At 49.0% G+C, this 12,669-nt stretch overlaps 1 protein-coding gene and 1 long non-coding RNA gene across 4 annotated transcripts in view, besides 23 other annotated features; one reads left to right on the forward strand and one right to left on the reverse strand.

Moving 5' to 3' along the window:
* Nucleotides 1-2,495, reverse strand: part of CASC11 (cancer susceptibility 11) — a 33,360-nt gene extending 30,865 nt beyond the window's left edge. For both annotated transcript variants that reach the window (NR_117102.1, NR_117101.1), the window contains exon 1: nucleotides 2,353-2,495. This is a non-coding gene — a long non-coding RNA (cancer susceptibility 11). The remainder of the gene's footprint in view (nucleotides 1-2,352) is intronic.
* Nucleotides 1,164-1,665: an enhancer, noted in NCBI's record as "NANOG hESC enhancer chr8:128744882-128745383 (GRCh37/hg19 assembly coordinates)". NCBI's record gives its function as "activates a minimal SCP1, AML or CMV promoter by ChIP-STARR-seq in naive H9 embryonic stem cells {active_cell/tissue: H9 hESC(naive)}" and the evidence as "EXISTENCE:reporter gene assay evidence [ECO:0000049][PMID:30033119]".
* Nucleotides 1,164-3,987: a biological region, named in NCBI's record as "NANOG hESC enhancer GRCh37_chr8:128744882-128745383". NCBI's record gives its function as "regulatory_interactions: MYC".
* Nucleotides 1,245-3,987: a transcriptional cis regulatory region, noted in NCBI's record as "MYC promoter-proximal element (GRCh37/hg19 assembly coordinates) targeted for CRISPR interference". NCBI's record gives its function as "positively regulates MYC gene expression in K562 erythroleukemia cells {active_cell/tissue: K562}" and the evidence as "EXISTENCE:manual assertion [ECO:0000218][PMID:33828297]" and "EXISTENCE:mutant phenotype evidence [ECO:0000015][PMID:27708057]".
* Nucleotides 2,272-2,482: an origin of replication, noted in NCBI's record as "HindIII/PstI fragment in pmyc(H-P) construct; allows replication of a plasmid". NCBI's record gives the evidence for it as "EXISTENCE:genetic transformation evidence [ECO:0005027][PMID:3053161, PMID:2216716, PMID:1324192]".
* Nucleotides 2,272-3,201: an origin of replication, noted in NCBI's record as "pNeo.Myc5'-930 fragment; allows replication of a plasmid; contains multiple putative sites of leading strand initiation". NCBI's record gives the evidence for it as "EXISTENCE:nucleotide analog incorporation evidence [ECO:0001107][PMID:7626216]".
* Nucleotides 2,272-4,669: an origin of replication, noted in NCBI's record as "2.4 kb HindIII/XhoI fragment; contains multiple putative sites of leading strand initiation; allows replication of a plasmid and can function in an ectopic context (PMID:10409757)". NCBI's record gives the evidence for it as "EXISTENCE:electron microscopy evidence [ECO:0005033][PMID:7799437]", "EXISTENCE:genetic transformation evidence [ECO:0005027][PMID:2157194, PMID:7626216, PMID:7799437]", "EXISTENCE:nucleotide analog incorporation evidence [ECO:0001107][PMID:7626216, PMID:7799437, PMID:10409757]" and "EXISTENCE:two-dimensional agarose gel electrophoresis evidence [ECO:0000339][PMID:7799437]".
* Nucleotides 2,354-2,513: an origin of replication, noted in NCBI's record as "A amplicon; peak of labeled nascent strand synthesis detected in competitive PCR assay". NCBI's record gives the evidence for it as "EXISTENCE:nucleotide analog incorporation evidence [ECO:0001107][PMID:9809750]".
* Nucleotides 2,406-2,427: an origin of replication, noted in NCBI's record as "135-155 fragment; allows replication of a plasmid". NCBI's record gives the evidence for it as "EXISTENCE:genetic transformation evidence [ECO:0005027][PMID:2686984]".
* Nucleotides 2,406-2,427: a protein binding site. NCBI's record gives the evidence for it as "EXISTENCE:protein binding evidence [ECO:0000024][PMID:2686984, PMID:1324192]".
* Nucleotides 2,406-2,427: a protein binding site. NCBI's record gives the evidence for it as "EXISTENCE:protein binding evidence [ECO:0000024][PMID:8134115, PMID:7838710]".
* Nucleotides 2,541-2,941: a DNaseI hypersensitive site, noted in NCBI's record as "DHI; the nucleotide coordinates are approximate for this feature". NCBI's record gives the evidence for it as "EXISTENCE:in vivo cleavage assay evidence [ECO:0001075][PMID:6327064]".
* Nucleotides 2,570-2,689: a silencer, noted in NCBI's record as "silent region_19529". NCBI's record gives its function as "represses an Ori minimal core promoter by ATAC-STARR-seq in GM12878 lymphoblastoid cells {active_cell/tissue: GM12878}" and the evidence as "EXISTENCE:reporter gene assay evidence [ECO:0000049][PMID:35858748]".
* Nucleotides 2,949-2,972: a protein binding site, noted in NCBI's record as "MF0677; preference for single-stranded sequence; methylation sensitive". NCBI's record gives the evidence for it as "EXISTENCE:protein binding evidence [ECO:0000024][PMID:1545807, PMID:1448097]".
* Nucleotides 3,007-3,108: a protein binding site, noted in NCBI's record as "DUE (DNA unwinding element)". NCBI's record gives its function as "required for loading of replication factors" and the evidence as "EXISTENCE:protein binding evidence [ECO:0000024][PMID:15653697]".
* Nucleotides 3,011-3,411: a DNaseI hypersensitive site, noted in NCBI's record as "DHII1; the nucleotide coordinates are approximate for this feature". NCBI's record gives the evidence for it as "EXISTENCE:in vivo cleavage assay evidence [ECO:0001075][PMID:6327064]".
* Nucleotides 3,018-3,099: a replication regulatory region, noted in NCBI's record as "DUE (DNA unwinding element); found to be important in DNA replication by competitive PCR assay of size-fractionated nascent strands". NCBI's record gives its function as "important for loading of replication factors and initation of replication" and the evidence as "EXISTENCE:fractionation evidence [ECO:0000100][PMID:12589000]".
* Nucleotides 3,252-3,468: an origin of replication, noted in NCBI's record as "D amplicon; peak of labeled nascent strand synthesis in competitive PCR assay". NCBI's record gives the evidence for it as "EXISTENCE:nucleotide analog incorporation evidence [ECO:0001107][PMID:9809750]".
* Nucleotides 3,636-4,669: an origin of replication, noted in NCBI's record as "pNeo.Myc3'-1030 fragment; allows replication of a plasmid". NCBI's record gives the evidence for it as "EXISTENCE:nucleotide analog incorporation evidence [ECO:0001107][PMID:7626216]".
* Nucleotides 3,651-4,051: a DNaseI hypersensitive site, noted in NCBI's record as "DHII2; the nucleotide coordinates are approximate for this feature". NCBI's record gives the evidence for it as "EXISTENCE:in vivo cleavage assay evidence [ECO:0001075][PMID:6327064]".
* MYC (MYC proto-oncogene, bHLH transcription factor) lies at nucleotides 3,962-11,479 on the forward strand. Of its 2 annotated transcripts, none has more exons than NM_001354870.1 (3): nucleotides 3,962-5,151; nucleotides 6,779-7,547; nucleotides 8,924-11,479. In NM_001354870.1, exons 1-3 carry the CDS (start codon nucleotides 5,122-5,124, stop codon nucleotides 9,484-9,486), a joined length of 1,362 nt encoding a protein of 453 aa, NP_001341799.1. In that variant the 5' UTR covers nucleotides 3,962-5,121; the 3' UTR covers nucleotides 9,487-11,479. The 2 variants fall into 2 exon arrangements, with proteins under 2 accessions (NP_001341799.1, NP_002458.2); NM_002467.6 differs by having other exon boundaries at nucleotides 4,759-5,151; nucleotides 6,776-7,547.
* Nucleotides 3,991-4,394: an origin of replication, noted in NCBI's record as "11 amplicon; peak of nascent strand synthesis detected after lambda exonuclease treatment and competitive PCR assay". NCBI's record gives the evidence for it as "EXISTENCE:nuclease protection assay evidence [ECO:0001106][PMID:10861842]".
* Nucleotides 4,269-4,669: a DNaseI hypersensitive site, noted in NCBI's record as "DHIII1; the nucleotide coordinates are approximate for this feature". NCBI's record gives the evidence for it as "EXISTENCE:in vivo cleavage assay evidence [ECO:0001075][PMID:6327064]".
* Nucleotides 4,475-4,664: a silencer, noted in NCBI's record as "silent region_19530". NCBI's record gives its function as "represses an Ori minimal core promoter by ATAC-STARR-seq in GM12878 lymphoblastoid cells {active_cell/tissue: GM12878}" and the evidence as "EXISTENCE:reporter gene assay evidence [ECO:0000049][PMID:35858748]".
* Nucleotides 11,176-12,375: an enhancer, noted in NCBI's record as "CDK7 strongly-dependent group 2 enhancer chr8:128754894-128756093 (GRCh37/hg19 assembly coordinates)". NCBI's record gives its function as "activates an origin of replication core promoter dependent on BRD2, BRD4, P300/CBP, MED14 and CDK7 cofactors, with strong dependence on CDK7, by STARR-seq in HCT116 cells {active_cell/tissue: HCT116}" and the evidence as "EXISTENCE:reporter gene assay evidence [ECO:0000049][PMID:35650434]".

The raw sequence follows: 12,669 nt of genomic DNA on the forward strand, positions 1-12,669 counted from the left end.
CCTGTTCTTAGAAGCCCAACCCACTCAGCAGCAGCTCCAAATAACAGGGGGAGCCAACAAAAAAGAGTGCTGCTAGAGCAACAAGCAAGGGGCAATTAGTCAGAAGGCAACTTCCATGGTCTTCCAAAAAAAATTGAGGTGAAAGACCAAAGATGTCCCTAAAATGTCTTCCTAAAAGATAAACTTCATCAACTACCTCTGACTGGTCAGTATTAAGAACCACTTTCAGGCCAGGTGTCATGGTTCACGCCTGTAACTCCATCTACTCCAGAGGCTGAGGCAGGACAATTGCTTCAGGCCGGAGGATTGCTTGAGGCCAGGAGCTGGAGACCAAGCCTGAGCAACACAGTGAGACCTCATCTCTACCAAAAATGTACCTCTATTAAAAAACAAAAAAGAAGAAGAAGAAGAAGAAGAAGGAGAGGAGGCTGGGTATGGTGGCTAATGCCTTTGTAATCCCAGAACTTTGGAAGGCTGAGGCAGGAGAATCACTTAGGCTGAGGCAGGAGAATCACCAGAGTCTAGGAGTTTGAGACCAGCCTGGGCAACATAGTGAGACCCCCATCTCTACAAAAAAAAAAATTCAAAAATTAGCCAAGCGTGGGGTTTGTGCCTGTAGACCCAACTACTCAGGAGGCTCAGGTAGGAGGATCACCTGAGTCCAGGGAGGTCGAGGCTGCAGTGAGTCATGATTATTCCACTGCCTTCCAGCCTAGACTACAGGGTGAGACCCTGTCTTAAAAAAAAAATTAAAGAAGAAAAAACTCTCTTTTCTTTTCTTTCTTTCTTCTTCTTCTTTTCTTTTTTTTTTTTTCTTTTTTTTTTTTTAGAGATGGCACGTCACCACATTGCCCAGGCTGTTGTCGAACTCCTGGCCTCAAACGATGCTCCCACTTGAGCCTCCCAAAGTGCTGGGACTACAAGCATAAGCCACCACACACGGCCTTTTCCTTTCTTTTTCTATTTCTCAATGGATTTTTCCAATGGACACGTATCACTTTGGTAGTTATACATGATACTAGTTGTAATCTCAGCCATTTTTCAACCCAGCAAATGTCTATTCTAGGTCAAATATGTCTCAAAAATTACTAAAAGAAAATCAGTTATGTCCTTTAACCTGGCTGAGGTCTGGCTTTGTTTTCTCTCATGTAAAAATGGAGATGGCACAAAACAACTCCAAGCTGTTACTTGAAAGTAACACCTCAGGTGATGTCACCAGCCTGAGGGAGAGTGAGGTTAAGTTCTGAACCCACAGGCATTATATCTGCCTGGGGTTCACATGCCCTACACTGGACTGGCATAATTTGAGAGTCAGATCCGAAGATGTGGTATATCCGCCATCTTTAGCAACTTTCAAAAACTACCCTATGAGGTCAAGCTGGACCTACTTTTGGTTTTGCCATTGTTGTTTGTTTGTTGTTGAGGGTTTTCTTTGAGGGGCGGGGAGTGCATGCCCCTGTGGAGAGCACTCATTTAGCTTCAATTAGAGTAATGCCAAAAGTGCCAGATTCCTGGGAAATCAGCCTACAAGGCTCCTGCGGGAAGGAACCTCCACTGCCAGAAGTCCTTAGGGCATCTAAGTGATCAGACACCGTCAGGGATTCTTTGCCCCGTAAAAACCTACTTGACCAGGGACACGTGCCAGGTAAATTTCCTTCACATTTACTTCAACCTTATTGCATACTCATTTTAGTATTAAAACCTTTAATAAAATGCTCCTATTCCTTCACACTTTTTTTCTATGAGATCTCAAATACCCCTTCTTGCTATTAAAAAAAATCACTTATTATTCACCAGCCCAATATTTTAAAAGTAAAAATAATAAGCCAAGGCCAGGAGCGATGACTCGCACTTGTATTCCCAGCAGTTTCAGAGGCAAAGGCCGAAGGATCGCTTTAACCGAGGAGTTTGAGACCAGCCTGGGCAACATGACCAGACTGCCTCTCTACAAAAAGTTTAAAAAATTAACCGGGTGTGGTGGTGCACTGCACTCCCAGCTACTGGGCTGGGGTATCAGGCTGAGGTAGGAGGTTTGCTTTGAGCCCGGGGGGATCGAGGCTGCAGTGAGCTTTGATTGTGCCACTGCACTCCAGCCTGGGTGACAGAAGGAGACCCTGTCTCAAAAATAATAAGAATAATAATTAATAATAATAGGCCAAACCAAATACCCATCACCTTCTGCTGTGCCTCCCCTTTCCCCAATAAATCCAGTGTCTTGCTTTCAAATTTTGTGGTTAAAAAAGATGATGAGTTTCTAAGACGTGGGGGCTAAAGCTTGTTTGGCCGTTTTAGGGTTTGTTGGAATTTTTTTTTCGTCTATGTACTTGTGAATTATTTCACGTTTGCCATTACCGGTTCTCCATAGGGTGATGTTCATTAGCAGTGGTGATAGGTTAATTTTCACCATCTCTTATGCGGTTGAATAGTCACCTCTGAACCACTTTTTCCTCCAGTAACTCCTCTTTCTTCGGACCTTCTGCAGCCAACCTGAAAGAATAACAAGGAGGTGGCTGGAAACTTGTTTTAAGGAACCGCCTGTCCTTCCCCCGCTGGAAACCTTGCACCTCGGACGCTCCTGCTCCTGCCCCCACCTGACCCCCGCCCTCGTTGACATCCAGGCGCGATGATCTCTGCTGCCAGTAGAGGGCACACTTACTTTACTTTCGCAAACCTGAACGCGGGTGCTGCCCAGAGAGGGGGCGGAGGGAAAGACGCTTTGCAGCAAAATCCAGCATAGCGATTGGTTGCTCCCCGCGTTTGCGGCAAAGGCCTGGAGGCAGGAGTAATTTGCAATCCTTAAAGCTGAATTGTGCAGTGCATCGGATTTGGAAGCTACTATATTCACTTAACACTTGAACGCTGAGCTGCAAACTCAACGGGTAATAACCCATCTTGAACAGCGTACATGCTATACACGCACCCCTTTCCCCCGAATTGTTTTCTCTTTTGGAGGTGGTGGAGGGAGAGAAAAGTTTACTTAAAATGCCTTTGGGTGAGGGACCAAGGATGAGAAGAATGTTTTTTGTTTTTCATGCCGTGGAATAACACAAAATAAAAAATCCCGAGGGAATATACATTATATATTAAATATAGATCATTTCAGGGAGCAAACAAATCATGTGTGGGGCTGGGCAACTAGCTAAGTCGAAGCGTAAATAAAATGTGAATACACGTTTGCGGGTTACATACAGTGCACTTTCACTAGTATTCAGAAAAAATTGTGAGTCAGTGAACTAGGAAATTAATGCCTGGAAGGCAGCCAAATTTTAATTAGCTCAAGACTCCCCCCCCCCCAAAAAAAGGCACGGAAGTAATACTCCTCTCCTCTTCTTTGATCAGAATCGATGCATTTTTTGTGCATGACCGCATTTCCAATAATAAAAGGGGAAAGAGGACCTGGAAAGGAATTAAACGTCCGGTTTGTCCGGGGAGGAAAGAGTTAACGGTTTTTTTCACAAGGGTCTCTGCTGACTCCCCCGGCTCGGTCCACAAGCTCTCCACTTGCCCCTTTTAGGAAGTCCGGTCCCGCGGTTCGGGTACCCCCTGCCCCTCCCATATTCTCCCGTCTAGCACCTTTGATTTCTCCCAAACCCGGCAGCCCGAGACTGTTGCAAACCGGCGCCACAGGGCGCAAAGGGGATTTGTCTCTTCTGAAACCTGGCTGAGAAATTGGGAACTCCGTGTGGGAGGCGTGGGGGTGGGACGGTGGGGTACAGACTGGCAGAGAGCAGGCAACCTCCCTCTCGCCCTAGCCCAGCTCTGGAACAGGCAGACACATCTCAGGGCTAAACAGACGCCTCCCGCACGGGGCCCCACGGAAGCCTGAGCAGGCGGGGCAGGAGGGGCGGTATCTGCTGCTTTGGCAGCAAATTGGGGGACTCAGTCTGGGTGGAAGGTATCCAATCCAGATAGCTGTGCATACATAATGCATAATACATGACTCCCCCCAACAAATGCAATGGGAGTTTATTCATAACGCGCTCTCCAAGTATACGTGGCAATGCGTTGCTGGGTTATTTTAATCATTCTAGGCATCGTTTTCCTCCTTATGCCTCTATCATTCCTCCCTATCTACACTAACATCCCACGCTCTGAACGCGCGCCCATTAATACCCTTCTTTCCTCCACTCTCCCTGGGACTCTTGATCAAAGCGCGGCCCTTTCCCCAGCCTTAGCGAGGCGCCCTGCAGCCTGGTACGCGCGTGGCGTGGCGGTGGGCGCGCAGTGCGTTCTCGGTGTGGAGGGCAGCTGTTCCGCCTGCGATGATTTATACTCACAGGACAAGGATGCGGTTTGTCAAACAGTACTGCTACGGAGGAGCAGCAGAGAAAGGGAGAGGGTTTGAGAGGGAGCAAAAGAAAATGGTAGGCGCGCGTAGTTAATTCATGCGGCTCTCTTACTCTGTTTACATCCTAGAGCTAGAGTGCTCGGCTGCCCGGCTGAGTCTCCTCCCCACCTTCCCCACCCTCCCCACCCTCCCCATAAGCGCCCCTCCCGGGTTCCCAAAGCAGAGGGCGTGGGGGAAAAGAAAAAAGATCCTCTCTCGCTAATCTCCGCCCACCGGCCCTTTATAATGCGAGGGTCTGGACGGCTGAGGACCCCCGAGCTGTGCTGCTCGCGGCCGCCACCGCCGGGCCCCGGCCGTCCCTGGCTCCCCTCCTGCCTCGAGAAGGGCAGGGCTTCTCAGAGGCTTGGCGGGAAAAAGAACGGAGGGAGGGATCGCGCTGAGTATAAAAGCCGGTTTTCGGGGCTTTATCTAACTCGCTGTAGTAATTCCAGCGAGAGGCAGAGGGAGCGAGCGGGCGGCCGGCTAGGGTGGAAGAGCCGGGCGAGCAGAGCTGCGCTGCGGGCGTCCTGGGAAGGGAGATCCGGAGCGAATAGGGGGCTTCGCCTCTGGCCCAGCCCTCCCGCTGATCCCCCAGCCAGCGGTCCGCAACCCTTGCCGCATCCACGAAACTTTGCCCATAGCAGCGGGCGGGCACTTTGCACTGGAACTTACAACACCCGAGCAAGGACGCGACTCTCCCGACGCGGGGAGGCTATTCTGCCCATTTGGGGACACTTCCCCGCCGCTGCCAGGACCCGCTTCTCTGAAAGGCTCTCCTTGCAGCTGCTTAGACGCTGGATTTTTTTCGGGTAGTGGAAAACCAGGTAAGCACCGAAGTCCACTTGCCTTTTAATTTATTTTTTTATCACTTTAATGCTGAGATGAGTCGAATGCCTAAATAGGGTGTCTTTTCTCCCATTCCTGCGCTATTGACACTTTTCTCAGAGTAGTTATGGTAACTGGGGCTGGGGTGGGGGGTAATCCAGAACTGGATCGGGGTAAAGTGACTTGTCAAGATGGGAGAGGAGAAGGCAGAGGGAAAACGGGAATGGTTTTTAAGACTACCCTTTCGAGATTTCTGCCTTATGAATATATTCACGCTGACTCCCGGCCGGTCGGACATTCCTGCTTTATTGTGTTAATTGCTCTCTGGGTTTTGGGGGGCTGGGGGTTGCTTTGCGGTGGGCAGAAAGCCCCTTGCATCCTGAGCTCCTTGGAGTAGGGACCGCATATCGCCTGTGTGAGCCAGATCGCTCCGCAGCCGCTGACTTGTCCCCGTCTCCGGGAGGGCATTTAAATTTCGGCTCACCGCATTTCTGACAGCCGGAGACGGACACTGCGGCGCGTCCCGCCCGCCTGTCCCCGCGGCGATTCCAACCCGCCCTGATCCTTTTAAGAAGTTGGCATTTGGCTTTTTAAAAAGCAATAATACAATTTAAAACCTGGGTCTCTAGAGGTGTTAGGACGTGGTGTTGGGTAGGCGCAGGCAGGGGAAAAGGGAGGCGAGGATGTGTCCGATTCTCCTGGAATCGTTGACTTGGAAAAACCAGGGCGAATCTCCGCACCCAGCCCTGACTCCCCTGCCGCGGCCGCCCTCGGGTGTCCTCGCGCCCGAGATGCGGAGGAACTGCGAGGAGCGGGGCTCTGGGCGGTTCCAGAACAGCTGCTACCCTTGGTGGGGTGGCTCCGGGGGAGGTATCGCAGCGGGGTCTCTGGCGCAGTTGCATCTCCGTATTGAGTGCGAAGGGAGGTGCCCCTATTATTATTTGACACCCCCCTTGTATTTATGGAGGGGTGTTAAAGCCCGCGGCTGAGCTCGCCACTCCAGCCGGCGAGAGAAAGAAGAAAAGCTGGCAAAAGGAGTGTTGGACGGGGGCGGTACTGGGGGTGGGGACGGGGGCGGTGGAGAGGGAAGGTTGGGAGGGGCTGCGGTGCCGGCGGGGGTAGGAGAGCGGCTAGGGCGCGAGTGGGAACAGCCGCAGCGGAGGGGCCCCGGCGCGGAGCGGGGTTCACGCAGCCGCTAGCGCCCAGGCGCCTCTCGCCTTCTCCTTCAGGTGGCGCAAAACTTTGTGCCTTGGATTTTGGCAAATTGTTTTCCTCACCGCCACCTCCCGCGGCTTCTTAAGGGCGCCAGGGCCGATTTCGATTCCTCTGCCGCTGCGGGGCCGACTCCCGGGCTTTGCGCTCCGGGCTCCCGGGGGAGCGGGGGCTCGGCGGGCACCAAGCCGCTGGTTCACTAAGTGCGTCTCCGAGATAGCAGGGGACTGTCCAAAGGGGGTGAAAGGGTGCTCCCTTTATTCCCCCACCAAGACCACCCAGCCGCTTTAGGGGATAGCTCTGCAAGGGGAGAGGTTCGGGACTGTGGCGCGCACTGCGCGCTGCGCCAGGTTTCCGCACCAAGACCCCTTTAACTCAAGACTGCCTCCCGCTTTGTGTGCCCCGCTCCAGCAGCCTCCCGCGACGATGCCCCTCAACGTTAGCTTCACCAACAGGAACTATGACCTCGACTACGACTCGGTGCAGCCGTATTTCTACTGCGACGAGGAGGAGAACTTCTACCAGCAGCAGCAGCAGAGCGAGCTGCAGCCCCCGGCGCCCAGCGAGGATATCTGGAAGAAATTCGAGCTGCTGCCCACCCCGCCCCTGTCCCCTAGCCGCCGCTCCGGGCTCTGCTCGCCCTCCTACGTTGCGGTCACACCCTTCTCCCTTCGGGGAGACAACGACGGCGGTGGCGGGAGCTTCTCCACGGCCGACCAGCTGGAGATGGTGACCGAGCTGCTGGGAGGAGACATGGTGAACCAGAGTTTCATCTGCGACCCGGACGACGAGACCTTCATCAAAAACATCATCATCCAGGACTGTATGTGGAGCGGCTTCTCGGCCGCCGCCAAGCTCGTCTCAGAGAAGCTGGCCTCCTACCAGGCTGCGCGCAAAGACAGCGGCAGCCCGAACCCCGCCCGCGGCCACAGCGTCTGCTCCACCTCCAGCTTGTACCTGCAGGATCTGAGCGCCGCCGCCTCAGAGTGCATCGACCCCTCGGTGGTCTTCCCCTACCCTCTCAACGACAGCAGCTCGCCCAAGTCCTGCGCCTCGCAAGACTCCAGCGCCTTCTCTCCGTCCTCGGATTCTCTGCTCTCCTCGACGGAGTCCTCCCCGCAGGGCAGCCCCGAGCCCCTGGTGCTCCATGAGGAGACACCGCCCACCACCAGCAGCGACTCTGGTAAGCGAAGCCCGCCCAGGCCTGTCAAAAGTGGGCGGCTGGATACCTTTCCCATTTTCATTGGCAGCTTATTTAACGGGCCACTCTTATTAGGAAGGAGAGATAGCAGATCTGGAGAGATTTGGGAGCTCATCACCTCTGAAACCTTGGGCTTTAGCGTTTCCTCCCATCCCTTCCCCTTAGACTGCCCATGTTTGCAGCCCCCCTCCCCGTTTGTCTCCCACCCCTCAGGAATTTCATTTAGGTTTTTAAACCTTCTGGCTTATCTTACAACTCAATCCACTTCTTCTTACCTCCCGTTAACATTTTAATTGCCCTGGGGCGGGGTGGCAGGGAGTGTATGAATGAGGATAAGAGAGGATTGATCTCTGAGAGTGAATGAATTGCTTCCCTCTTAACTTCCGAGAAGTGGTGGGATTTAATGAACTATCTACAAAAATGAGGGGCTGTGTTTAGAGGCTAGGCAGGGCCTGCCTGAGTGCGGGAGCCAGTGAACTGCCTCAAGAGTGGGTGGGCTGAGGAGCTGGGATCTTCTCAGCCTATTTTGAACACTGAAAAGCAAATCCTTGCCAAAGTTGGACTTTTTTTTTTCTTTTATTCCTTCCCCCGCCCTCTTGGACTTTTGGCAAAACTGCAATTTTTTTTTTTTTATTTTTCATTTCCAGTAAAATAGGGAGTTGCTAAAGTCATACCAAGCAATTTGCAGCTATCATTTGCAACACCTGAAGTGTTCTTGGTAAAGTCCCTCAAAAATAGGAGGTGCTTGGGAATGTGCTTTGCTTTGGGTGTGTCCAAAGCCTCATTAAGTCTTAGGTAAGAATTGGCATCAATGTCCTATCCTGGGAAGTTGCACTTTTCTTGTCCATGCCATAACCCAGCTGTCTTTCCCTTTATGAGACTCTTACCTTCATGGTGAGAGGAGTAAGGGTGGCTGGCTAGATTGGTTCTTTTTTTTTTTTTTTCCTTTTTTAAGACGGAGTCTCACTCTGTCACTAGGCTGGAGTGCAGTGGCGCAATCAACCTCCAACCCCCTGGTTCAAGAGATTCTCCTGCCTCAGCCTCCCAAGTAGCTGGGACTACAGGTGCACACCACCATGCCAGGCTAATTTTTGTAATTTTAGTAGAGATGGGGTTTCATCGTGTTGGCCAGGATGGTCTCTCCTGACCTCACGATCCGCCCACCTCGGCCTCCCAAAGTGCTGGGATTACAGGTGTGAGCCAGGGCACCAGGCTTAGATGTGGCTCTTTGGGGAGATAATTTTGTCCAGAGACCTTTCTAACGTATTCATGCCTTGTATTTGTACAGCATTAATCTGGTAATTGATTATTTTAATGTAACCTTGCTAAAGGAGTGATTTCTATTTCCTTTCTTAAAGAGGAGGAACAAGAAGATGAGGAAGAAATCGATGTTGTTTCTGTGGAAAAGAGGCAGGCTCCTGGCAAAAGGTCAGAGTCTGGATCACCTTCTGCTGGAGGCCACAGCAAACCTCCTCACAGCCCACTGGTCCTCAAGAGGTGCCACGTCTCCACACATCAGCACAACTACGCAGCGCCTCCCTCCACTCGGAAGGACTATCCTGCTGCCAAGAGGGTCAAGTTGGACAGTGTCAGAGTCCTGAGACAGATCAGCAACAACCGAAAATGCACCAGCCCCAGGTCCTCGGACACCGAGGAGAATGTCAAGAGGCGAACACACAACGTCTTGGAGCGCCAGAGGAGGAACGAGCTAAAACGGAGCTTTTTTGCCCTGCGTGACCAGATCCCGGAGTTGGAAAACAATGAAAAGGCCCCCAAGGTAGTTATCCTTAAAAAAGCCACAGCATACATCCTGTCCGTCCAAGCAGAGGAGCAAAAGCTCATTTCTGAAGAGGACTTGTTGCGGAAACGACGAGAACAGTTGAAACACAAACTTGAACAGCTACGGAACTCTTGTGCGTAAGGAAAAGTAAGGAAAACGATTCCTTCTAACAGAAATGTCCTGAGCAATCACCTATGAACTTGTTTCAAATGCATGATCAAATGCAACCTCACAACCTTGGCTGAGTCTTGAGACTGAAAGATTTAGCCATAATGTAAACTGCCTCAAATTGGACTTTGGGCATAAAAGAACTTTTTTATGCTTACCATCTTTTTTTTTTCTTTAACAGATTTGTATTTAAGAATTGTTTTTAAAAAATTTTAAGATTTACACAATGTTTCTCTGTAAATATTGCCATTAAATGTAAATAACTTTAATAAAACGTTTATAGCAGTTACACAGAATTTCAATCCTAGTATATAGTACCTAGTATTATAGGTACTATAAACCCTAATTTTTTTTATTTAAGTACATTTTGCTTTTTAAAGTTGATTTTTTTCTATTGTTTTTAGAAAAAATAAAATAACTGGCAAATATATCATTGAGCCAAATCTTAAGTTGTGAATGTTTTGTTTCGTTTCTTCCCCCTCCCAACCACCACCATCCCTGTTTGTTTTCATCAATTGCCCCTTCAGAGGGTGGTCTTAAGAAAGGCAAGAGTTTTCCTCTGTTGAAATGGGTCTGGGGGCCTTAAGGTCTTTAAGTTCTTGGAGGTTCTAAGATGCTTCCTGGAGACTATGATAACAGCCAGAGTTGACAGTTAGAAGGAATGGCAGAAGGCAGGTGAGAAGGTGAGAGGTAGGCAAAGGAGATACAAGAGGTCAAAGGTAGCAGTTAAGTACACAAAGAGGCATAAGGACTGGGGAGTTGGGAGGAAGGTGAGGAAGAAACTCCTGTTACTTTAGTTAACCAGTGCCAGTCCCCTGCTCACTCCAAACCCAGGAATTCTGCCCAGTTGATGGGGACACGGTGGGAACCAGCTTCTGCTGCCTTCACAACCAGGCGCCAGTCCTGTCCATGGGTTATCTCGCAAACCCCAGAGGATCTCTGGGAGGAATGCTACTATTAACCCTATTTCACAAACAAGGAAATAGAAGAGCTCAAAGAGGTTATGTAACTTATCTGTAGCCACGCAGATAATACAAAGCAGCAATCTGGACCCATTCTGTTCAAAACACTTAACCCTTCGCTATCATGCCTTGGTTCATCTGGGTCTAATGTGCTGAGATCAAGAAGGTTTAGGACCTAATGGACAGACTCAAGTCATAACAATGCTAAGCTCTATTTGTGTCCCAAGCACTCCTAAGCATTTTATCCCTAACTCTACATCAACCCCATGAAGGAGATACTGTTGATTTCCCCATATTAGAAGTAGAGAGGGAAGCTGAGGCACACAAAGACTCATCCACATGCCCAAGATTCACTGATAGGGAAAAGTGGAAGCGAGATTTGAACCCAGGCTGTTTACTCCTAACCTGTCCAAGCCACCTCTCAGACGACGGTAGGAATCAGCTGGCTGCTTGTGAGTACAGGAGTTACAGTCCAGTGGGTTATGTTTTTTAAGTCTCAACATCTAAGCCTGGTCAGGCATCAGTTCCCCTTTTTTTGTGATTTATTTTGTTTTTATTTTGTTGTTCATTGTTTAATTTTTCCTTTTACAATGAGAAGGTCACCATCTTGACTCCTACCTTAGCCATTTGTTGAATCAGACTCATGACGGCTCCTGGGAAGAAGCCAGTTCAGATCATAAAATAAAACATATTTATTCTTTGTCATGGGAGTCATTATTTTAGAAACTACAAACTCTCCTTGCTTCCATCCTTTTTTACATACTCATGACACATGCTCATCCTGAGTCCTTGAAAAGGTATTTTTGAACATGTGTATTAATTATAAGCCTCTGAAAACCTATGGCCCAAACCAGAAATGATGTTGATTATATAGGTAAATGAAGGATGCTATTGCTGTTCTAATTACCTCATTGTCTCAGTCTCAAAGTAGGTCTTCAGCTCCCTGTACTTTGGGATTTTAATCTACCACCACCCATAAATCAATAAATAATTACTTTCTTTGACTCTGACTCCTAGAATAATCTATTCAAAACCTTAATGTCTTTTTCTTGATCCTTCTTTTGAGTCCTAAGTACCGCCATTACAGCTTCAAATTGGCACGTCATATAGGCGAATTTCAAAGGGAGATGCAATCCACAGAAGTATAGTAGTTCAAAGGGTTACAAAAGCAAGGCGCTCTTAAACAGCTCAGTCTTTGCCCCTTTGTGGCCTAGGGCTGGAGTGCAGCTCTGGGGTGACTCACTTGGGAATCGGGAAGGTGTTAGTCTGAATCACTAAGTCCAGGCAAGCCCTCAGAATAGGAGAGAGTGTTCCTAGCAAGGAAAACAACTCTCCATTCCAAATAATCAGGAAAGAACTTTAGGGATGTGGAGCTTGGCTATGGGAATAGAAAGGAACCATTCCAAGTGCCTATTAGGCCGCTCTTACCTTTACTGAGCCAGAGAATGGCTCTGAAAACAGGACAGATGCCAACTTCCTTCCCGAAAGTCAGGCTGATCTTGACCACAATACAAATTGGCCCTTAGAGCCTATACAGGGAGTCCCAGGGGTCTCTGCCATTGTGCAACCTATTTTGTAGATAATAATCAAGAATCGGACGTGAAGGGGAGGAGTTTGCAACTTGGTCAGGAATGTATAAGAAGGAATAAGCTAATTCTGACTATGCCCTTTATCCATGACACTATCCAGGAATTAATGACTCTCCCAGAGGATTCCTGGAATGATTTTGTTGAGGGATGGAATGTATAAAGAGGAAGGAAGTGTTATTTTATGCTGCCATTTGGAAGCAACAAAGGAGATCAACAGTATGAAAACAATCAATCAAATTTGAAAATGAACAAAGTTTTCACAATCCCAGCCTAATACTTAGAGAGCTCACAGCTTGGATGCATAAGTAAAGAGTTCTCTGCTGGTCTTTAAGACAAACTCTCACACAAAACTTGGGAAAAAGGACAAAAATGTTGCATTAGGGGGTTTTCTGTGGTTTGTTTGCAATAACTATAATTGGCTCAATCAATAATTATTTTTTAGTATACACACTAAGGGCCCCTGTAGCATTTTTTCCCATCGATAAATAATCCTTAGTCTAGAAAATGCCGAGGGATGTTCTCCACCCTTGTCTATAAATGCACTTCTAGATGACTTTATAAAAGGCTCCTCCTTCAAGTTTATAGAATATTATAAGACTACATTA

Source organism: Homo sapiens, chromosome 8 (genome assembly GCF_000001405.40).
Source record: "Homo sapiens chromosome 8, GRCh38.p14 Primary Assembly".
Classification (NCBI taxonomy): domain Eukaryota; kingdom Metazoa; phylum Chordata; class Mammalia; order Primates; family Hominidae; genus Homo; species Homo sapiens.